The sequence below is a fragment of the Homo sapiens genome, chromosome 11, assembly GCF_000001405.40.
Source record: "Homo sapiens chromosome 11, GRCh38.p14 Primary Assembly".
NCBI lineage: Eukaryota > Metazoa > Chordata > Mammalia > Primates > Hominidae > Homo > Homo sapiens.
This window is the reverse complement of record NC_000011.10, coordinates 46,511,557-46,535,625: the sequence shown is the minus strand read 5'-3', so window position 1 is coordinate 46,535,625 and position 24,069 is coordinate 46,511,557. Positions and strand designations below refer to the sequence as shown.

Genomic DNA, 24,069 nt, shown 5'->3' with positions numbered 1-24,069 from the left:
GATTCTTCTGCAATCTCTATGAAGGTATACTTGGTCTTGATTTAGTTCAAAAATTACATGTGGATAATCCAATTTAAATGCGAAGGTTCTTTCCTACTGATGCTTTTTCTTTAAGTTTCTGTGGAAGGCATTCATTAAATTTGCTTAGAAGTAGGATTTTTAGGGTTTGAGAAAATGTGTGCTCTCATCTTTTGTTTTGGAGTCTGAGCATCATGAGAGTGAACCTTGTTAAGTTTTGAGATGCTTGTAGGTCCCTTTTTTCTTGTGGAGGTCAGAATCCTTATGTTAGTTAGCAGAAAGTTTTGCTTTACCTCTAATTATGCGGAGTGTGAATAGTTCCCCCTGAAAAAAACTGGTGGAATTGTTGTCTTTGGTATTCAAGATACTATACAGTAAACGCTTTCTAACTTCTGAGTTCTTCTTAGTTAGAAGTTCGGCATTTAAGGACAAATAGGAAAGAATCCTCAACTGTGAGAATTTCATTTGTGATACAGGCAAATTATGACGTGTTCTTTCTAGGAAGAGAGAGGAACAAGTATTGGGAAATAAAAAGGAGACAAAGCCTGTGGTGGAATTAACAAACTTATTTTAAGAGATGTAAGGGAAGGGAAGCTGGGGAAGGTAAACTCAGGCTTTAGAATAGGGTACTGAGGGCTGGGTGTGGTGGCTCATGCCTGTAATCCCAGCACTCTGAGAAGCCAAGTTGGGCAGATGGTTTGAGCTCAGGAATTTGCGACCAGCCTGGGCAACATGGTGAAACCCTATCTCTACAAAAAGCTCAAAAATTAGCTGGGCATCGTGGCATGTGCCTGTAGTCCCAGCTACTCGTGGGGCTGAGGTGGGAGGATCGCTTGAGCTCAGAAGGTTGAGGCTGCAGTGAGCCATGATTGCGCCTCTGCACTGCAGCCTGGGCAACAGAGTGGAGACCCTGTCTCTCAGAAAAAGGAAGAGGGAACTGAGGAGTATGCACAAGGACTGCTTCCTGGATGAGTTTGGTTCTTCCTAATAACGCTGAGAGTTGGGCTTGTAAACTGTGATTGATCCATGCATCCATCCATTCACTCATTCCATTAACAGATATTTACCAAGCACCTGCTGGATTTCAGGTGCTATTTATTTTACTTTATTTTGAGATGGAGTTTCGCTCTTCTTGCCCAGGCTGGAGTGCAATGGTGCGATCTGGGCTCACTGTAACCTCCGCCTCCCGGGTTCAAGTGATTCTTTTGCCTCAGCCTCTCAACTAGCTGGGATTACAGGCGCCTGCCACCACGCCTGGCTAACTTTTCTGTATTTTTAGTAAAGACGGGGTTTCACCATGTTGGCCGGACTGGTCTTGAACTCCTGACCTCTGGTGCTCCGCCCGCCTCGGCCTCCCAAAGTTCTGGGATTATAGGCCTGAGCCACCGCACCTGGCTGGCACCAGGTGCTATTTAAATGCCAGCAATAATTCTCTCATTCTAATGGGAGAAAGACAATAAAAAAATAAGATATCTAGTATGCCAGACAGTGATAAGTTCTATGGCAAAAAAGAGAAATGTATAAAAAATGTAGGGGATGCTGCAATTTGAAATAGGATCATCAAAAAAGGTTTGATAAGGTTACACTGGAGCAGAGGAGACCTTAAAGAAGTGCGAAAACAAACCCCGTCGACACTAGGGGAAGGACATTTTAGACAGAGGAAAGGGCGAATGCAAAATCTCTGAGATGCTTGGCACCGTCAGCCAGTGCAGCTGGAGCACAGCAAGGGATGGAGTGATAGAAGATGAAGTTGGAGAGGTGACAAGGATGAGATTATGCAGGGTCTTCTAAGCCATTTAAAAGATTTTTGCCTTTTCCTTTGAGTGACTTGGGAAACCATCAGAAGTGGAGTAGCATGATCTTATATTTTAAAAAGATAACTGTGGCTGCTGGTTGAGAATAGACCTAGGAGCTAAGTAGCGTAAATTAAAGCTAGGCCAACTCTGCACACTTTTAGATTGATTTGTGTCTTGAGACTGTGTTGAGAACCAAAAAGGAGGAGTGACTTGTTCTGTCAAGATAAGAGAGGCCTTAAATGTTTGGGTGAAGAGCTGATGAACGGTTGAACAAATGAATGAATCAATCATCTCAGCAGGCATATTACCTGCAACAAAGCCCCTCCACTCTTCCCCAACCTCCAAACAAGAAGGCGTGTTATCGAACTGTGAGGAAGGGAGAGCTTGAAAAATTAATAGTAAACAAGAGATCATAAATGGAAATGAAATTCCTGTTTTTTGCTAATTACAAAACTATTGTCAATTCATTTGTAAAAAATCAAACATTACAGAAATGTACAATTGTAGAAAGTGGATATCCTCTTAAAGCCACTGCTCAGAGATCTGCTATTAACAATTTGTGTGTGTGTTAACTCCAGAATTTTTTCTATGCTAATCAAAACACATTTTTCCATTTATTTTAATTCTTTTCCTTTTTTTTTTTTCTTTTGAGACAGAGTCTCGCTTTGTAGCCCAGGCTGGAGTGCAGTGGTGCAATCTTGGCTCACTGCATCCTCCACCTCTGGGGCTCAAGCGATTCTCGTGCCTCAGCCTCCCGAGTAGCTGGGATTACAAGTGTGTGCCACCAGGCCTGGCTAATTTTTGTATTTTTAGTAGAGACAGGGTTTCACCATGTTGGCCATGTTTTGTTTTCTTTTTCACAGTGTTGCAGGATCTTTGTGTACTTAAGTGTTTTTAGAAGATGAAGTTCTAGAAGTGGAATTGCTAGTGCCCAAGAGTATGAGCGTTGTTAGTGGTAAATGAAAATTAATTGTATGCTACTCATTATTACTAATGTAAGATATATAAAGTATTTCTTATTTCCTGTTTTATTTAACTGAACATTATTTCATAGATTTCATAGATTAGAACTCTTAAGGCCGGGCACTGTGGCTCACGCCTGTAATCCCAGCACTTTGGAAGGCCAAGGTGGGCGGATCACAAGGTCAGGAGTTTGAGACCAGCCTGGCCAACATGGTGAAACCCCATCTCTGCTAAAAATACAAAAATTAGCTGGGCATGGTGGTGGGTGCCTGTAGTCCCAGCTATTTGGGAGGCTGAGGCAAGAGAATCGCTTGAAGCCGGGAGGCAGAGGTTGCAGTGAGCTGAGATCGCACCACTGCACTCCAGCCTCGGCAAAAGAGAGAAACAACATCTCAAAAGAACTCTTCAACCTTTCTTCCCCCATAAGCTCTTAAGCTTATCAGTAGTAAATTCTCCTACTACGGGTTTTCAGGAGCTTCCTCCTCAAGTTTTTGAGAAAAACTTTTGTTTTATTCTAATAATTGCCACCTTGAGGTGTTAGTGTACATTTGTTCTCTGACACCCTTGTATGAGAAAAACATAGCCCTGTTCTATCTCTGACAATCACATACATACTGGCCTTCATCCACTTAGTCTTCTGTGTCTTATTAAGTGATTGGAAAAATCCAGGCATCTCTTGCCTCTTCATAAGAAAGTAATTTTATATTAATTAATTAATTAATTTATTTCTGAGACATAGTCTTGCTCTGTCACCCAGGCTAGAGTGCAGTGGCCCGATCTCAGCTCACTGCAACTTCCGCCTCCCAGGTTCAAGTGATTCTCCTGCCTCAGCCTCCTGAGTAGCTGGGATTACAGGCGCCCACCACCATGCCTGGCTAATTTTTTGTATTTTCAGTAGAGACAGGGTTTCACCATGTTGGCCAGGCCGGTCTTGAACTCCTAACCTCAAGTGATCCGCTGCCCTTGGCCTCCCAAAGTATTGGGATTACAGGCGTGAGCCACCTCTCCCAGCTGGCAGTAACATTTAGATATCGAATGTATTCGTCATTGGGGGTGGTTAGGCAACCCATTTTCTCTTTGGCAATATGGGAATGAGGATAGAGTGAAGGAGGGATATCATTCTGTTAATCTTTTTTTTTTAAGATGGAGTCTCGCTCTGTCACCCAGGCTGGAGTGCAGTGGCAGATCTCTGCTCACTCCAACCTCCAACTCCCGAATTCAAGTGATTCTCTTGCCTCAGCCTCCCAAGTAGCTGGGATTACAGGTGCCCACCACCAGGCCTGGCTAATTTTTGTATTTTTAGTAGAGACAGGGTTTCGCCATATTGGCTGGGCTGGTCTTGAACTCCTGACCTCAGATGATCCGCCCACCTTGGCCTCCCAAAGTGCTGGGATTACAGGCGTGAGCCACCGCGCCCAGCCTCATTCTGTTAATCTTTCTTACCTTTGCTGCTCACCTGCCCAAGAAGGTCACTCTGTTTGAGCCTCTGAATTCTGTGTGTGTTCCCTGCCCTACCCTCTATATCAGGCATTGGCAAGCTTTTTGTAAAGGTCAAGATAGTAAATTATTTTAGGATTTGGAGGCTGTACAGTCTCTGTTGCAATTACTCAACTTTGCTGTTGTAGTATGAAAGCAATCACAAACAATATCTAAATGAGTGAGTGTGGGCCTGGTGTGGTGGCTCATGCCTGTAATCCCAGCACTTTGGGAGGCCGAGGCAGGTGGATCACTTGAGGTCAGGAGTTGGAGACCAGCCTGGCCAACATGTCAAAACCACATCTCCACTAAAAATACAAAAATTAGCTGACATGGTGGCAGGCACCTGTTTTCCCAACTACTTGGGAGGCTGAGGCAGGAGAGTTCCTTGAATCTGGGAGGTGGAAGTTGCAGTGAGCTGAAATCATGCCACTGCACTCCAGCCTGGGCTACAGAGCGAGAATTCGTCTCAAATAAATGAATGAATCAATGAATGAGAGTGTGGCTGTGTTCCAAAAAAACTATTTATGGAGATAAATTTGATTTTCATATAATTTTCACGAGTCATAAAAATGCTTTTGATGTTTTTCAATCATTTAAAAATATGAAAACCATTCATAGCTGGTTTTGGCCCGCAGGTTATAGTTTGCCAGCTCCTGCTTTATAGGAATGTGATTTGGAAGAGTCAGGTGCTAGAGTAATAGAAGGCATTATGACAATGAGGGCCCCAAAGAGGTTGTTAGGGGACTCCTGCACTTGCTCTCTCTCTAGTTTGGACTAGATGCTCTAAGTAAGTATTGGCTCTTGTGGGATTCTTTGATGGTTAAGAGCAGGCATAAATGCATAAAGAATTTGTTTCTTGTACTATCTGGCCTGAAGCAAGGTTCTCCAGCCTCACTTTCTTTCTTGGGAATCGTGTGCAAATGAGGAGGCTTGCCCTGGTTGGGAGGGCATGAGCCTCCAGATCCTCCAGGCAGTATGCTTGGCAGGCAGCCCTTCTCCCAGTGCAGGTCATGCTAGCACCTACTAGGCTGATCTAAATTATCCCTCATCATTCCTCTCTCTGGGGCTGAATGGTGTAGAGCGTGCTGTGTGCTTTGTATACATCCTGAAACATGAAAAGATGTAATCGCTTCTGTCAGCTCTGGGTCTTGGAGCACTTGGGGACTACAGTGACGTCTGTATGTGTGCTGCAAATACGTTGGGAGTAATTTCCCGTGTACTCATTCTTCCCCCTTCAGATCCCCTTCTCTACTGTATCTATTCAGAGTAGTGCTCTAAAGGGTGCTTTGGAGGCTTTTCCAAGACAGTAACACCAGGTGTATGGGGTTCTGTTTGCATAACATATTTTGCTTATTGTAATTGGTCCCAGCCCATTAGAACTGTGCAGGTAGCATCCTCTCCTCCTGGATTTCTTACACATTTATTGAGTGGTTGGGGGGTGGGCCCAGGATTCAGTACATCTTATTTCTGCTCTTTCTTGGAAGCATTCCTGACAACATGTTTGTGTGAGCAAATTTTGCTTTCATGGGTGGGCCTATTGTTACATTAACCAAGATATTGCAAAATAGTCCTCAAGTATGTTTGTTTGCCTCACAGTGTTTCTAAAAATTTGGATGTTTTTTTTCCATATCAATTCGGGTATCTGGATTCTGTTGAAAAAACAGGCTCACATTCCCACCTAACAGTCAGCAGGAATTGAGTAGGACAGCAGCCCCTTTCGTCAAGGCATGGACTTTCTTGATGCCTTAGTCTATGCTAGGCTGATGTCATGTTTCCTACTTAAATCCAATTTTGTGTACTTGGCCATTGCATTAGCTCAAGCAAAAAGTGTTGATGGTTAGGTGTGGGTAAATATTTCCTAAGTGCCCTACCACTTGGCTCCACCAGGGGGAGTCACTGGTCATTGCAGTACCCGCACCACCACCCCACCCATCCTGCCTAATTCACCCACAGGGGCTCCCCCTGCTTGCTGTAGGCTGACATGCTGACAGCCCCCTCACCTGAGAAGCTGCCTGATTTTTAAATAGCAACAATTAACAAACTCCTCCTCTGTTTCCAAAGGGGGAAAATGGAGGTTCCAAGCTTATTTGCTGGATGAGGCTCACTAGTGAGCAGATCTCCATTACGCCAGATTATGCAGTATGAGAGCAACCTTCTTTTGGACTATGTAAATGGACTATGTAAAATCTTGGAGAAGAATGCCTGCACCTTTTGCAGAGCACCTTGGACAGAGTGGTGGGTTCCAATGAAAAGCCTGCATGACTTGGGTGTCACTTGCCAGGAAATTAAAATCAAGTTAGAGCAGGAGTAGAAAATTGTAATAATAAAGGAATCAGAGGCTGAAAGTATGACCTTGTCATAGAAAGAGAATTGCAGCTTGTTAACATTGTGCCCTTTTCCTTTGCTGCATCAGAGGGTACGTGTGACTCTTTTTGCCTCTTCTGCTTTTTTCCTCCCCTACACAGAGGTAGCCCAGCTTCTACTGCCTTTGTCTCCTTGCTGTCCCCTTGGGTCATTTCACCTCAGCAAGGTGGCGTTTATCTTTTCTTTGTTCTGTTGGCACATGTAACCCTTTTTATCTTCGTGTACGTGTGTCTGTGATAGAAAACATAACATAGATTTACCCTCTTAATAATTTTAAAAGTGTACAGTACACATTATTGTTCAATAGATCTCTAGAACCTCTTCATCTTGCGTGACTGAAACTCTGTATCCTTTGAATGACTCCTTTTCACCCTCCCACAAGCCCCTGGCAGCCACCACTCTACTTTCTGTTTCTGTGAGTTTGATAACTTTAGGTACCTCTTATTAATGGAATCTTGCAGTATTTGTCTTTTTGTGGTTGGGTTATTTCACTTAGCATAATGTCCTTAAGGATCATCTATTAATATGTCACAGTGGCTGGGCGCGGTGGCTCACGCCTGTAATCCCAGCACTTTGGGAGTCCAAGGCAGGCAGAGCACTTGAGGTCAGGTGTTCGAGACCAGCCTGGCCAACATGGTGAAACTCCATTTGTACTAAAAATACAAAACTTAGCCGAGTGCGGTGGTGGGCACCTGTAACCCAGCTACTCAGGAGGCTGAGGCAGGAGAATCGCTTGAACCTGGAGGTGGAGGTTGCAGCGAGCCGGGATCGTGCCACTGCACTCCAACCTGGGTGACAAAGCGACACTCCATCTCCAAAAAATAAATAAATAAATAAAAGAAAAAGTTGTATGTATGTATCATAATTTCCTTCTTTTCAAAGGCTGAATAATATTCCATTCTATGTATATACCACATTTTCTTTATCCATTCATCTACTGATGGACATTTAGGCTGGTTCCACATTTTGGCTATTTTGAAAAATGCTGCAATGAACATGGGTGTGCAAATATCTCTTCAAGATCCTGTTTTCATTTCTTTTAGATACATAACCAGAAGTGGAATTGCTGGACATATGGTAGTTCTATTTTTAATTGTTTGAGGAACCTCCATACTGTTTTCCATAGCAGCTGAACCATTTTACAATCCTACCAACAGTGCATGAGGGTTCCAACTTCATATCCTTGTCAGCACTTGTTATTTCCTGTTTTTTTTTTCTTTTTATAGTGGTCATCCTAACAGGTGTGAGGCGATAAATAAATGTGGTTTTGCTTTGCATTTCCCTAATGATTAGTCATGTTCAGCATCTTCTTATATGCTTGTTGACCATTTGTATATCATTATTAGAGAAATGTGCATGCAAGTCTTTGGCCCATTGTTTAGTATGGTTATTTGTGGGGTTTTTTGGTTATTGAGTTGTAGGAGTTCCCCATATATTATGGACATTAAACATTTATCTGATATATGGTTAGCAAATATTTTCTCCCATTCCATAGGTTGCCTTTTTTTTTTTTTTTTTTTTTTTTTTTGAGACAGTCTCACTTTGTCACCTAGGCTGGAATACAGTGGCATGATCTCGGCTCACTGTAACCTCCACCTCCTGGGTTCAAGCAATTCTCCTGCTTCAGCTTCCCAAGTAGTTGGGATTACAGGTGCATGCCACCATGCCTGGCTAATTTTTGTATTTTTAGTAGAGATGGGGTCTTGCTGTGTTACCTAGGCTGGTCTCGAACTCCTGGCTTCCAGTGATCCTCCCGCCTTGACTTCCCAAAATGCAGGGATTACAGGAGTGAGCAACTGCTGCTGGCCTCCTACTTCTTTGATAAGGGAGGTAGCACAAATAGCCTTAATTTCTCAAATTCTAGGACCATTTTCTACATTGAAAGGGAGCCACCCAGGGCTGAAATGTGTTTCAGAAAGATGGAGAGCCTTGAGATAGGAGAGAGTGCAAGTCTTTCTAAATGAACATTGACCCTTCTGACTAATACAGGGGCCTTATGCTTTACAAACAGTGAGCAAGTTTACACTTGCTTTATTATGATCTGTTTTCAAATGCCTTTTTTGTTTTTAGTAGCCAAGGTTCCTTTGAGAAGAGATGTGATTTTGGCTGTAAACTAACCTCATGGACTTAGTTCTAATGTTGCTGTTGTGCCTAGCTTGAAAGTTTTACAAAGATAAGGAACTACTTTGTTCACATATTGGTGTATAAGAAACCATACTCCAAAACTTAGTGACTTAAAACCGATTCAGTTATTTTTCATGGTTTTTTTTTGTGTGTGTGGGGTGTAGACTGGGCTCAGTTGGAAAGTTCTTCTGCTGATCTTCCTTGGGTTTTCTCTAGAGTCATCTGGAGGCCCAGTTAGAATAAACTGGGTCTCTCTCCCTTGTCATGTAGACTCAGGGGCTCTTCTCTCCACATGGCCTCTTGAGAGAGTAGCCAGGCTTTTTTTTTTTTTTTTAATTTTAATTTTTTTTTTATATTTCTTGTTATATAGATGACAGGGATAGCAGACTTCTTACATAGCAGCTTAAGGTTTCCAAAAGTGACAGTTCTAAAAGGAAGGAAACAGAAGCCTGCCAGTTCTCTTAAAACGGTAGGCCCAGAATTGGCACAGCTTGCTGCATTCTCTTGATTAAAGCTAGTGATAGAGCAGTCTAGATTCAGTGTGGGAGGGGACCACACAAGGGTGAGAATACCAAGAGGATATTTCTTTGGAGCCATCTTTGGAGATTGACTACTCTAAGGGCCATATCTATTTTATTTTATTTTATTTATTATTATTGTTTTTTATTTATTTTTGAGCCGATGTTTCGCTCTTGTTGCCCAGACTGGAGTGCAAACAATGCGATCTCAGGTCACCACAACCTCTGCCTCCCAGGTTCAAGTGATTCTCCTGCCTCAGCCTCTGGAGTAGCTGGGATTACAGGCATATTCCACCCTGCCTGGCTAATTTTGTATTTTTAGTAGAGATGGGGTTTCTCCATGTTGGTCAGGCTGGTCTTGAACTCCCGACCTCAGGTGATCTGTCCGCCTTGACCTCCCAAAGTGCTGAAATTACAGGTGTGAGCCACCGCACCTAGCCTATTTCTTTTTTGAGACAGAGTCTCGCTCTGTCACCCAGGCTGGAGTGCAATGGCGTGATCTCTGCTCACTGCAACCTCCATCTTCTGGGTTCAAGCAGTTCTCCTGCCTCAGCCTCACAAGTAGCTGGGATTATAGGCACCTGCCACCATGCTGGCTAATTTTTTTTTTTTTGAGACGGAGTCTTGCTCTGTTGCCCAGGCTGGAGTGCAGTGGCACGATCTCGGGTCACTGCAACTTCCGCCTCCCGGATTCAAATGATTCTTCTGCCTCAGCCACCAGAGTAGCTGGGACTACAGGCACGTGCTACCACTCCCAGCTAATTTTTGTATTTTTAATAGGGACAGGGTTTCACCGTGTTGGTCAGGCTGGTCTCGAACTCCTGACCTCAAGTGATCTTGATCTACCTGCCTTGGCCTTCCGAAGTACTGGGATTACAGGCATGAGCCACCGCGCCCAGACTTGACACATCTAAGTTTTTGTATTTTTAGTAGAGACAGGGTTTTGCCACTTTGGCCATGGCTAAGCTGGTCTTGAACTCCTGACCTCAGGTGATCCACCCGCCTTGACCTCCCAAAGTGTGGTGTGAGCCACCGCGCCTGGCCTATTTATTTATTTATTTTTGAAACAGGGTTTCAATCGGTTGCCCAGGCTGGAATGCAGTGGTATGATCTCAGCTCACTGCAGCCTCAACGTCCATGGCCCAAGGAATCCTCTTGCCTCAGCCTCCCAAGTAGCTGAGACTATAGGCATGTGCCACCATGCCCAGATAATTTTTAAATTTCTTGTAGAGATGAGGTCTCCCTATGGTTGCCCGAGCTGGTCTCGAACTCCTGGGCTCAAGGTATCCTCTTGCCTCAGCCTCCCAAAGTGCTGGGATTACAGGCATGAGACATCATGCCCAGCCCACATCTGTATTTTATATAGTACTGATATATATAACTAACAGAAGGCACTCAGTATTTGTTTGAATCACCGGTTGGATGGACCAACACATAGATTGGTAGATGGATACCTGACTGTTCTTGTTGGTTTACGTGGATGGGGTGCATGTGATTCTCACGGCTCAGGTACCCCTGTTTATACCTTTATAGTATTCACCCTTCTTCAACATGTCTTTCTTTCTGACAAAGTACCTTTTTAGGCATAGTGACTTGAGTGGACAGAGGGCATCATATTCCCTGCAGATATTTTGGGAGCTGTAATCTAAGGAAGAAAAAAATAGTAATGGCTGTTTATTAGACTGTACTGGCTACTGTGCTTGACACAGGTTCTTAATCATAATAACCATGTGAAATAAGAGATTTCCCCTCAAATGTGGAAGCAGAGGATAATGAACTTGCCCAAGGTCTCACAGCCAGTGGGTGACACAAGATGGAATTTAAACTGCAGTCTGTCTGATTCTAAGGCTCAAACACTAAATTGCCTCATATTTTAGTTACTCAGAGTTTTCTTGGTTAGTCTCAGACCATTAAGATATATCAAAAGGTTTTATAACAGCAGCACTATTGACATTTGGGGCTGGATAATTCCTCACCATGGGAGGCTGTCCTGTGCATTGTAGGATGTTTGGCACCATTCCTGGCCTTCACCTGTCACATACTGGTGGTGCTCTGGCACCCAGAAGCAAAAACCAAAAATGTCAGCAGACATTGCCACATTTCTGGGGGGCATTCCACTCCCCTTGAAAAGCACTGGTAAATTATTTCATGATTTGTTGTCCTTTGATCTTGCTGGTTTTTAAAAATATGACATTAGGCCGGGTGCGGTGGCTCACACCTGTAATCCCAGCACTTTGGGAGGCCGAGGTGGGCGGATCACCCGAGGTCAGGAGTTCGAGACCAGCCTGGCCAGCATAGTGAAACCCTGTCTCTACTAAAAATACAAAATTAGCTGGGCATGGTGGTGCATCCCTGTAATCCCAGCTACGTGGGACGCTGAGGCAGGAGAATTGCTTGAACCCAGGAGGTGAAGGTTGCGGTGAGCCTAGATCATGCCATTGCACTCCAGCCTGGGCAACAAGAGCGAAACTCTATCTCAAAATAAATAAATAAATGAATAAAACTATGACATCTCACAAGGAACTGTCAGTGGGTTCAAACCATCTTCTTATGATAGTTAATAGTACTGCCTGGTTCTGGTGGTCTTGTGTCACGCCTTTCTCTCATTGCTTCTCTCCTCTTCTGTCTTATCTTTTGTCTTTTGTCTCTGATTTTTCTAAATAAAGCGCATCTGGGTAAAGCGGTGTTTGTGGGACTTTTTACACAGGTATCGATTTAGCAGGCATTCAGAACTCTGAGATTATAGCCATTAGTGCTAATAAAAAGAAGGCAATTTACATCTTCTGATTATAGTACAGGGGGAAAATGCATAATTTTTAGCAAGCAGGGAATTGAATGGCTTCCAGACTCTACAGAGTTAATCCTCCTCAGGGTAGTATTGATTGACATGCTGGAGGACGTTAATGTGCGAATCTTTTTGGGAACGGGGGAGGAGAGTGGAAATTGCAGTTTCTCTACTAATTGTACTTTAGGTGTCGTTTATGACAATTTCATGTTGTCTAGACAGAGGGAAATGGTGGAGAAATTATTTCAGTAGAGTCAAATGTTGAGTCCAAAAGGAATCAGGGTGGTTGCTGAAGTCAAGATCAGGGTGAAAGGGCAAGTAGTACATCCCCAGAGGCGAATCAGTGAAATCAAATGTCACTAAGAGAAGCAGTTCAGAATGAACCTTGGATATAAGAAAAGTGATTGTACTCTGAGCTTTGTGTTAGCTCAAGGGCTAACAGTGGATTGTTTGGGGTCCCAGCTGTAGTCTCTGCCCTCATATTTCTGCAGATTCTAGAAACCTCATTCCATGGACAGATATGAGCTGGGAAATTGGCCTCCTTGCCTCTGGTTAATAAACACCCCAGCACACTGTGCTTTGCTTTTCCCTCATTCTCTTGAGGCTTCACGTACTAACTCGCTTTGCCTTTCTGATATTCGTCCTAAGATTTTACTTCCTATTATATAGTGTTTGCAGTATACCAGGGTGAAGGACCTGTCACTTCTTAATGAATGGCCTTGGTCAAGGGTTTTTAAAGTTTCAGGTCAGAAATGTGGATGTGAAAAAATGTTTTTTAAGACCTTCACAGGCTTACTAGTATCACAGCAATAAATGATTCTACCAGGATATTCTTCGTAGACTTAGTTGGCCTGGAGGTAGACTTTTAAGGATATATCTGTGCTTCTGAATAAAATTAGCTAAGAATTCAACATTATGGAATTCAATAAATTCCAGGGGGAAATCAGTGAATTAGGATACACTGCCTCTTAAATTCTAAACCCTATATATCCCACCTGTTGCATGTAGGGGGCATGTGTGCATGTGGCATCAAAACTAGCTGTGGACCTTTTTTTTTCCCATAGATTTGGTCTTACTCATCCTCTGGTGAAAAGCCTCTGATGGTAAATTCTGGGTTAAAAAAAAAGTCTGTGGTCTGTGAGCAGACCTCCCAAGTCTCCCAGGGAAATGGATTTGGATACTAAGTAAAGATGTCCATGTAGATTGGCTTGGGCCTTTGAGTTTACTTGCTAACTAAAGTGAGTTTTTATTATACATTCAAGTCTTACAACTATAGTGTAATGTGTTGAGGGTATATAGGAGCTAAGCATAGTGCCAACCAGTCATCTTACAAATGTATTAAAAATAACTACCCATGTATTAAAAATAACTACCCACCAGACAGTTAGCAGAGGGTCATATGTTCCCAGGGGGAACTGGCTGACTTCTCAGACGAGACTTTTGTAATGCTAGATACATGATTGCACACTATGTATACATTCTGTTTCTAGCCTCTTCCCTTTTGCTGTCTGCGATTATGTTGTGCTCTCATGTTTTGCCATCTATCGCTCACTGCCCAGAGGCACTGAGGAATACATTAATGTTTTGTAAAGATGTTTTTAAGCGTTTCTGGTGAAAAGCATTATTTTGCACTCTGTGAATTGTTTATATTTGATAATAGTAAAATAAGGCTGATCTACACTGTAGGCACTGTGGTGTCTTTTTGTAGTATGTCTATTTTTTTCCTGAGGTTACTAGCATTTTAGCAGTGGTACCTTGCCTTGGCCCACCTCACATCAGGGGCAGGAATTGCCTGCCAGTCTCTGCTGGCAACTGCATCACATGCTTTAAGTGCACCCCTCAAACTAGGGGGCCCTGCAGCGATCAGATGAATGCCTATCGTTGGATAACTTAAACGATAATTGCTAGTGTGTGAAATGGGGAGGCTTGGATGCCTCTGCATTAGAGCAGAGATGTCAATTTGGAAATCATAATAGAGGTGTCGTTTCAGAACACACAATTATTTTTTACAAAGAATAAGGGCTTGTCATCTCCCAGCCCAGGCATGCGCCAAGGCAGAGATCGGGGAGTTGCAGAGTAAGATTCAGAAATGAAGAAAGCCACAGTGCGTTCAAGTTTATTTGGCCTCCTGCCCCTTCATCCCCTGGCAAACATTGCCCTCTTTCCCCTGTGGGGGTCTCTTTTGGCAATTTACAGTCCAGGAGCATCAGTGGTAGTTTCCCAGGCAAGTAGCCAGCCTCTGGCTTTTTGATTTAATGAGCCTCCCAGGGACCAGACTGCACTGCATTTATCAGGACAACTATGTCAGCACTTTAACCTGAGCAGCATAAGTGACCAGAGGGGATGAAGGTGATGTAAGCAGTTTCTGAAAACCTTGTTCCTTCAGGAGTTTTAGTGTGAGGTTTTGGGCATCTAGCAACCTTGTCTGAGAGTCTTGTCGCCAGTGAGGGGCAACCAGATAGGTCTTCTTGCTTATTCTTCCAAGTCTGGTTAGGCTGCTGATTCATCACTTAAATATTTGTTGGTTTCCTATTACATGTTAATTAGGATGTGAGTTTTGATGGGGATAAAAAGATGACTTGGATCCAGTACCTGTTTTCATGTAGCAAAGACAAGACATAAGTTACTGGGTGACTTGAGAAGGCCTCTTAAGAGAGGTACAAAATGCTATAGGGGCCGGGCGCGGTGGCTCACGCCTGTAATCCCAACACTTTGGGAGGCCGAGGCGGGCGGATCACGAGGTCAGGAAATCGAGACCATCCTGGCTAACACAGTGAAACCCCGTCTCTACTAAAAAAAAAAAAAAATACAAAAAATTAGCCGGGCTTGGTGGTGGGCGCCTGTAGTCCCAGCTACTCGGGAGGCTGAGGCAGGAGAATGGCGTGAACCCGGGAGGCAGAGCTTGCAGTGAGCCGATACCACGCCACTGCACTCCAGCCTTGGTGACAGAGCGAGACTCCGTCTCAAAAAAAAAAAAAAAGAAAAGAAAAACAAAATGCTGTGGGGCACTGGGGAAGAGAGGGTGAACTTCTGGCTGGAGGAGTCAGGTATTTGAGCTTTGAAGGCTTTTTACAGACAGTAATAAGGAAGAGGAACTTTCCAGAAAGAAGAAATTGCCAAGATAAATAACGTAGGTGGGATAGTGAGGGTGTGTTTAGTTTAGCTAGAACAATGGATCCCCAAAGTCAAAACTATTTTTATAATAATGCTGAGACATCCTTTGTGTTTTTCACTCTCATTCTTTCACAAGTATACAGTGTTTGCTAGAGGCTCCATGACATGTAATGAGGCTATCATCCTGATGGCTAATTGAATGTGTGCTTGTGTATTAAAATTTTTTCAGTTTTAATTTCAATAAATTGAAATTAAATATTGATAGTGGAAACCCATACAAATGAAATCTCTTTAGGAGCCTCGTAATTTTTTTTTTTTTTTTTTCGAGGCGGAGTTTCACTCTTGTTGCCCAGGCTGGAGTGCAATGGCGCCATCTTGGGTCACTGCAACCTCTGCCTCCTGGGTTCAAGCGATTCTCCTGCCTCAGCCACCTGAGTAGCTGGGATTACAGGCATGCGCCACCATGCCTGGCTAATTTTTTATTTTTAGTAGAGACGGGGTTTCTCCATGTTGGTCAGGCAGGTCTTGAACTCCCAACCTCAGGTGATCCGCCCACCTTGGCCTCCCAAAGTGCTGGGATTACAGGCGTGAGCCACCGGGATCCTCATAATTTTTAAGAGTGTTAAAGGAGTCCTGGGAGCAAAAAGTTTGTAAACCACTGGACTAGAGCATATAGTATATCCAAAAGGAATGAGAAATTTGGCTGCAAAGCTTGAATACCAAATGCCCTGCTGAGGAATCTGGATTTTATTTCCTAGGCAGAAGGAAGCTGTTAATTTGGGTTTGGTGCTCCCGGATGGAAATAGCGGTTGCCATCCAGACATCAAAGCTAGGCTGTAAAGTTATTCATTAGGCATGGGGCACCAGTGGCACCTTACCTTCTGGGAGCCAGCATTCCCTAACAGTAGAGGCCAGAGAGTTCTAGCAATTGATTGTTTCCAGTGGTTGGAGAAAGTCCAAACATGTTTGTTTGCTTTAGGATATTGATTTTTCTCTGTGATCTGACAACCAGTTAAAAGAGTATCTTCAGGTTATAATTTTTTAGTAAGGAGGAGTTGTCCACGGTTTGTTTATTCCATATGGACTAGTACCCAGACTTTCTGCACCTCAACTCTGATATCTATTGAATTTGAAGTGAAGGGGCCGGGCATGGTGGCGCATGCCTGTAATCCCAGCATGTTGGGAGGCCAAAGTGGGTGGATTATATGAGGCCAGGAGATCAAGACCAGCCTGGACAACATGGTGAAATCCCGTCTCTACTAAAAATACAAAAATTAGCCAGGCTTGGTGGTGCATGCCTGTAGCCCCAGCTACTCGGGAGGCTGAGGCAAGAGAATTGCTTAAGCACAGGAAGCAGAAGTTGCAGTTAGCCAAGATCGCGCCACTGTACTCCAGCCTGGGTGACAGAAACTCTGTCTCAAAAAATGAAATAAAATAAAATAATGAAGTGAAGGTTCTTTTCTTTCAGTTGATCTGCTCCGACCACTTTTTTTCTTTTCCAGAGCTTTCTTTGACTATTTTAAAAATTGTATTCCTAGTGATCAAGAATACAGCTGATACAGGGAACTTCTTTGCACATAACTCAGAATATTAATCAGGGAAAGAAAAAATAGTTGTATTCTTTTAAAAATGTTCAGGATTTCACAGTTTGAATTATATGCCTATTATGATTTTAGCAGAGCTTAATATTCATTTTTGATGTTTTTTTTCCAGTGCACAATACTTTAATTTCAAGTTCTTTTTTGTTCTGTCCCTTAGTAATTTAAAGAATTCTATGTAAGCAAATGTTTTAGAGCAGAAATGGGCGAACATCTTCTGTAAAGGGCTAGGCAGTAGGTATTTTAGGCTTTGTCTCTATCAGGATTCCTCAGTTCTGCCTTGCCAGCTCCAAAGTAGCCACTTATTTACAAAAGAAGACAGCTGACCTGGGGCCTGTAGTTTACCAAACCTGCTGTAGAGCATTAGGGCAAGTTGCTATTCTAAGAAATCTTTTTACAAAGTGAGTAATTCTTTTTTTTTTTTTTTTTTTTTTTTTGAGACGGAGTCTTGCTCTGTCACCTAGGCTGGAGTACAGCGGCGCTATCTTGGCTCACTGCAAGCTCCGCCTCCCAGGTTCATGCCATTCTCCTGCCTCAGCTTCCCAAGTAGCTGGGACTACGGGAGCCCACCACCACGCCCGGCTAATTTTTGCATTTTTAGTAGAGATGGAGTTTCACCATGTTAGCCAGGCTGGTCTCGAACTCCTGACCTCAGGTGATCTGCCCACCTCGGCCTCCCAAAGTGCTGGGATTACAGGCGTGAGCCACCGCGCCTGGCCGTGAGTAATTCTTCTGAAAACAAATGGCTATCTCTTTCTTTTCAGTATTTTACTTTAAGATTTTTGTGTGTTGTATGTTTTTGTTTTTCATTTTGAAATAATTTCAAACTTGCAGAAAACGTATAGAGGATTCCCATATACCCTTTACCCACATTCCCTAAATGTTAACATTTTGCCACATTGGCTTTATTATCTTCTTTTGTTCTCTCTCTCTCTATATATATACGAATATGGGTATACTTTTATATGCTTATAGTTTTTTATATTTAAGCTTATCCTATTCTTTAAGTATTTGGCATTTTTTTTTTTTTTTTTTTGAGACAGAGTCTGTCCCTGTTGCCCAGGCTGGAGTGCAGTGGCGCGATCTTGGCTCACTGCAACCTCTGCCTCCCGGGTTCAAGCGATTCTCCTGCCTCAGCCTCCCAAGTAGCTGGGACAGGCGTGTGCCACCAGGCCCGGCTAATTTTTTGTATTTTTAGTAGAGACATGGTTTCACCATGTTAGCCAGGATGGTCTCGATCTCCTGACCTCGTGATCCACCTGCCTCAGCCTCCCAAAGTGCTGGGATTACAGGCGTGAGCCACTGCACCCGGCCTGTTTAGTATTGTTAAAGTAATATATAGTTTGATAGAGCAGTGGCCTTCAGACTTAAAAAAAAAAAAAAAAAAAAAAAAAAACCTTATTAATAAAATGCTTTCTAGCCGGGCGCGGTGGCTTACGCCTGTAATCCTAGCACTTTGGGAGGCCGAGGCGGGTGGATCACCTGAGGTCAGAAGATTGAGACCAGCTCCAGCCAACATGGTGCAACCCTGTTTTTACTAAAAATACAAAAATCAGCTGGGTGTGGTGGTGGACGCCTGTAATCCCAGCTACTTGGGAGGCTGAGGCAAGAGAATCACTTGAACCCGGGAGGCGGAGGTTGCAGTGAGCCGAGATTGCACCATTGCACTCCAGCCTGGGCAAAAGAGGGAAACTCCATCTCAAAAAAAAAAAAAAAAAAAGCTTTTGAGTAATCCATGTGTGTTATGATTATATATTATATAGCAGAAGTTGTAATATTTCCCCCTTGCTGTCCAATGGATCAAATAGCACAACCCCTCGTATACCTCACTTGGACACCAGTGGTGTATAAAATGAACCAGGCAAGTAGAGAAAACAAGGAAGTATTTTGTTTGGTTGTATTGTGTTTTTGTATTTTTTTTTTCTTCAGCTTCAGTGATAGCAGCTTCGAACCTGAACAAGCTTGTCTGAGCCCTTCCTAGGCCCTCCCTGATTTCTTGTGATAGATTAAGTCAAGTCAAGTTTGTGGTGGTCACAGCAGAATGTGCAGAACTGCCATCGCATTCAATTTTCTCCTACCATTTCCCGTTGACAGCTGTCTGTAACAGGCTAACACTGGGAAAGAAAGATCTTTTGGCCGGGCGCAGTGGGTCACGCCTGTAATCCCAGCACTTTGGGAGGCCGAGGTGGGCGGATCATGAGGTCAGGAGATCAAGACCATCCTGGCTAACACGGTGAAACCCTGTCTCTACTAAAAATACAAAAAGAAATTAGCCAGGCATGGTGGCAGGTGCCTGTAGTCCCAGCTACTTGGGAGGCTGAGGCAGGAGAATGGCTCGAACCCAGGAGGCGGAGCTTGCAGTGAGCCGAGATCGTGCCACTGCACTCCAGCCTGGGCAACAGAGCGAGACACCGTCTCAAAAAAAAAAAAAAAAAAAAAAAAAGAAAGATCTTTCTTTGAGGTTCCTAGCAATGGTGGTAAACATTCCTAGGATGTTTACTCATCTAGTAACTCTAGTTCTTTATTCCACACCAATTGGAGAAGCCTATTTTTACTCCAGATAGTACTCGTATTGTAACTATGAAGAACTGATGTTTCATCAGTGTATATGTGTATTCATGGTGATTGGCTTTCCTGCTTTTGTGCATTAGCAGTAAAGTGACATATATATGTGGCTTGCCAGTTCCACTATATTGTCTGGGCAGCAAATGTTGCCAACACATTCCGTAGTAAGTAGGCACAGGGGATGCGTGTTCCAAAAGAACCTCATCAGAGACTCTCCAGCAACAAAGCTTCATATTTTGGGTCTATTCCAACTTAAAGAAGTCTTCCTAATTAAGGTAGGAAGTTAAGGTGGGAAATAGACTTTTAGGATTGTAAAATGGAGTCATTAAGGCCAGCACAGTGGCTCACACCTGTAATCCCAGCACTTTGGGAGGCCAAAGCGGGCGGATCAGAAGGTCAGGAGTTTGAGACCAGCCTGACCAACATGGTGAAACCCCATCTCTACTAAAAGTACAAAAATTAGCCGGGTGTGGTGGCGCATGCCTTTAATCCCAGCTACTCAGGAGGCTGAGGCAGGAGAATCGCTTGAACCCAGGAGGCGGAGGTTGCAGTGAGCCAAGATTGCGCCACTGCACTTCAGCCTGGGTGACAGAGTGAGACTGCGTCTCAAAAAATAAAAAATAAAAATGGAGTCATTAAAACTGAAGTTACCTAATGCAAACCCTTCAGATCAGGAATCTCCTTTACAGCATTCCTAATAAATCATCTCATCTCACTCAGTACTGTCATTGCCTTAGCAGATTGGGGGTAATATTTGCTTTTGTTACCATAATTAGTTTCTTTAAGAAGGATGTATTTTTGTTTGTTTGTTTGTTTGTTTGTTTGTTTTGAGATGCAGTCTCACTCTGTCACCCAGTCTGGAGTGCAGTAGTGCGATCTCAGCTCACTGCAACCTCTGCCTCCCAGGTTCAAGTGATTCTCGTGCCTCAGCCTTCCAAATAGCTGGGATTATAGGCACGCACCACCACGCCTGGCTACTTTTTTGTATTTTAGTAGAGATGGAGTCTCACCATGTTGCCCAGGCTGGTCTTGAACTCCTGAGCTCAGGCAGTTCACCCATCTGGCCTCCCAAAGTGTTGGGATTACAGGCGTGAGGCACCACGCCCAGCCAAGAAGGATGTTTTTTGGTCACTGTGGAGGATGCTGCTTGCCAAAGGGCCTCAGCTTACTAAACGACCACTTGGAGGATAACACAACAGGTGGTGACATTCAGGACTAACTCCAGAGCACTTTAGGGTGGAACAAGCTTCTAGGTATTCTAGGATAGTCAGCTGCTCCCAGACCTTGCTTCCATTCTTCAACTCACACCCAGTTCCTGAAGAACTGGTTTGTTAAATGATAAATAAGTACTATATAAGATGGCATAAATGACCTGAATACTCTTCTCAAAATTTTGATTTTCCTTTTTTCCCAGACTCTGTATCTCTCACTACCCTTACCTGTCCCACACATTCTGTATTTTAAAAGACTCAAAGACATGCCGTTATTTTATGTGTTCCTATGAAATCATGAAAAAATCCTGCCAGTGGGCAGGCACAGTGACTTATGGCTGTAATCCTGGGACTTTGGGAGGCCGAGGCAGGAGGATCACTTGAGGCTAGGAGTTTGAGACCAGCCTGGGCAACATAGCCAGACTCTGTCTCTATCAAAAAAAAAAAAATCCTGCCAATTAAACTGTGTCACACAACTGTAAAATACACCCCAACCTCAGACACATTCAAAGGTGAAAAGTGTGTCTTAGAATTGATGAAACAGCATTTCTGCCACATTTGAACCACAGTGATGTTACTGAAGATTTAGTCTTTCAACCAGAGAGATGTATTTTATTGCTTTCCTCTCTTCCTCCTTGTTTACATTGTGTTCTCTCTGTTCAGTGGTAGGATTGTTACAAGTGTCTAAGTATGGGGATATAGGCCTTGTCTAGAGAGAAAACATTACTTGATAGTTGGTTGTCCTGGGCAGGAAAGGTTGCAAGCCAGGTTGTTAGGGCCTTTGCTATGTCTCTTCCCCAGGCTGTTAGGGGAAGTACTGCAGTGGGCCAGTTGCTGGAATAAAGTGACCGCACAGGACTATACCTAAAGCCAGATGGTTTTAGTAACAGTGAATTGAATTAAATCAATTGGAAAAGATTGGTAGCTGCTGTCCTTATCCTGCAGGTCTGCTTTAAAGAAGAGTCTGGCAGGGAGCCAGGGACCTGTTCCTAGGAAAGGCAGGCAAGATGCTGCTGGAGAGGAACAATATGCGTTCCTCTCTGAGACCATTTCCTTTGAAACATGTTCTGGGGCAGGAGCTTGATTGGCTGCCAAGGCACATGTGAGTTGGGAAGCACCATGTCAGACATGCAAACCAGGGAGCCCCTGGGCCGTGTTTATTATACGTGTTCTGACTGGCCCTTGTTGTTTAAAAAAAAAAAAAAAAAGTTGTAGCTAAAATTTAACAATCAGGAGATTTTATACAAAATTCCAGATTTCTAGCTTTCCTTAAAAAATAGGAAAAGCCAGCAATACTGAGCCTATATTCTAGCTTAGTAACAATTGGCTGGAGCTAAATGATGGGCCACAGACCTTCCTGTTTGTCAGTCTCCATTGAATACATATGCTCTTGCTTCCTGCCTGGACCGTGGAAGGTCTTGCAGTACAAAATAGAGATTTGAGGCATTTTGGAGTTAAGACAGGCCTTCCCTGGAGTCCTGTTACTATCTCTTAATAGTTATGTGCCACAGAGTGATACACTTTAACTTCTGGGCCCAGTGTTCTCATGTATGTAGTCATACCTACCTTTCTAGGTTGTGGTGAGGTTTAAACAAATACATATGAAGTGCTCAGTATTACCTATTACCTGGCATCAAAAAAAGTGTTCAATAAAATGTACGTATCACATATGATCAGTTGAGTTTGTTATTGGGCTAGATTATATAAGTAAACGTTGTCAGTTGAAAGCCTATGGAGTACTCTTATATATATTTATATTTTTAATAGATATATTATAGTTATATATCTGAGGAGTACTCAATTCTCACAAAAAAAAAAAAAAGAAAAAAGAGCGTAGGCAGAGCAGAATGGATAGACAGGAAGTAGATGTGGATGATGATGGCATGGAGGAACCAAACAACAAGATAAATGTTAGCACTATGTGATAATCTCTGTGTGTGCCTAATTTTTCACTCCTGTGTTGATCCGAACCTTCTATTTGTCTACTGGAGGTACTGCAAATAGAAAGAAGATCATGTCTCTGAAGCACTTGTTCATTTCTCATTGAAGAGCAGTATTCAGCAGAATGCAGTGGTCATGTCCAGTGTGGGAGTTTTGCAGCTCTTCATTTATTTGTGTCTCTACCTACTTAGCTTGTAGAAGGGTGTGATCCCAGATAACAGGCGTTAGCTGGCTGCAAAAGGGGAAAGTTATATATCTCTCCCTCATTTTTCCTTATGAATGACCTCTGAGTTGGTAATTGACAGGGATTATTGCCATTTTTTTAATCTCTGCTAGGAGGCTGCTGGAATCTTCCCTCATTTCATTATCCCGTTATGATGGAGCAGGATCCAGAGAGCACCCAATTTACCCAGACCCAGCGAGGTAAGGCCAAAGTGAGAAATGGCACTAGGTGGGGGGAGGGGCGGCCCTTGGGGTTGCCACACTGTTGGAAGCTCCGTTCTGTGCCTCTCTGGTCCTGGTGCTCTTTTATTCTTCAGTTACAGTTTTGAGACAGGTGGTTCAGGTGATGGGGAAGTATTGCAGGTAAGTGAACAGTACCTCTGGTGACAGAGGGTTATGACCAAGCTCTTGTCCTTTGGGACTCATTTCCGCAAGTGTGGTGCTAGAGGAGGAACCTGGAGAGGCCACAGGTAGTCATAGGATACTCTTTTTCTGTTGGCCAGAGAGGCTGTTGTCATTCAGATGGACAGCCAACAGGGGAACAAAATGTTTTTAATTTATAGGGAAATTATGTATAGATTAAACAAAAAACCCAATTTGCTGTCATTTGAGAGGGAATTTAGAATATCAAAAGGCAGAAGTCAAGCTCCTTCAGGTATTGACATTTTTGGAGACTGCCCAAAGGAAGAGACGACCGAAGAAGGAGTAAATGGATAAAACAAGTTGGCATTTTATTAAAGTGCTTGCCTTACACTTATTAGAAGACATTTGAGGCTGGGCATGGTGGCTCACGCCTGTAATCCCATCACTTTGGGAGGCTGAGGCGGGCAAATCACTTGAGGTCAGGAGTTCAAGACCAGCCTGGCCAACATGGCAAAACCCCGTCTCTACTAAAAATACAAAAAATTAGCTGGGCATGTTGGCAGATGCCTGTAATCCCAGCTACTTGGGAGGCTGAGGCAGGAGAATCACTTGAACTAGGAAGGCAGAGGTTGCAGTGAGCAGAGATCGCACCACTGCACTCCAGCCTGGGTGACAGAGCAAGACTCTGTCTCAAAAAAAAAAGAAGACATTTGAAAAGTTCTAAAGAGATAAAAAACAAAACAGAAGTTATTTCAATGAGTTCAAGGCCTGCCCTTCACTGATGGTGATAACTAAGGACCAAGGGTGGGATATTAATGGATAACATTCATCTGCAGAGAGCAGCCCCTTGGGGTTGTCACAGCCAGATTTACGGATTCTGTTCGTGATCTAAAAAGGCACATTATTTAAGCAATACTAGAGCACATTAGGAGGCTTTGCCAAAAGAAAAGGGTAATTTACAGTTGTGGGGTTGGCAGGTTAGCAGTGTAGGTTAGGTAAAGCAAAATG

The 24,069-nt window shown here is 43.4% G+C and overlaps 1 protein-coding gene across 10 annotated transcripts in view, besides 1 other annotated feature; it reads left to right on the top strand.

The window, feature by feature from the left end:
- The window catches only part of AMBRA1 (autophagy and beclin 1 regulator 1), a 197,612-nt gene that overhangs the window by 58,398 nt on the left and 115,145 nt on the right, over positions 1 to 24,069 (top strand). For 6 of the 10 annotated variants that reach the window (NM_017749.3, NM_001367470.1, NM_001367471.1 and 3 more), the window contains one exon: positions 22,813 to 22,899. The exons of 3 other annotated variants lie outside the window; for them this stretch is intronic. In NM_017749.3, the coding sequence (NP_060219.2) occupies positions 22,813 to 22,899 (87 nt within the window). Of the gene's footprint in view, positions 1 to 17,199; positions 17,479 to 22,812; positions 22,900 to 24,069 lie in introns of all 10 variants that reach the window. One more of the 10 variants, NM_001267782.2, reaches the window with a different exon arrangement.
- Positions 6,055 to 6,234: a silencer, noted in NCBI's record as "silent region_3313". NCBI's record gives its function as "represses an Ori minimal core promoter by ATAC-STARR-seq in GM12878 lymphoblastoid cells {active_cell/tissue: GM12878}" and the evidence as "EXISTENCE:reporter gene assay evidence [ECO:0000049][PMID:35858748]".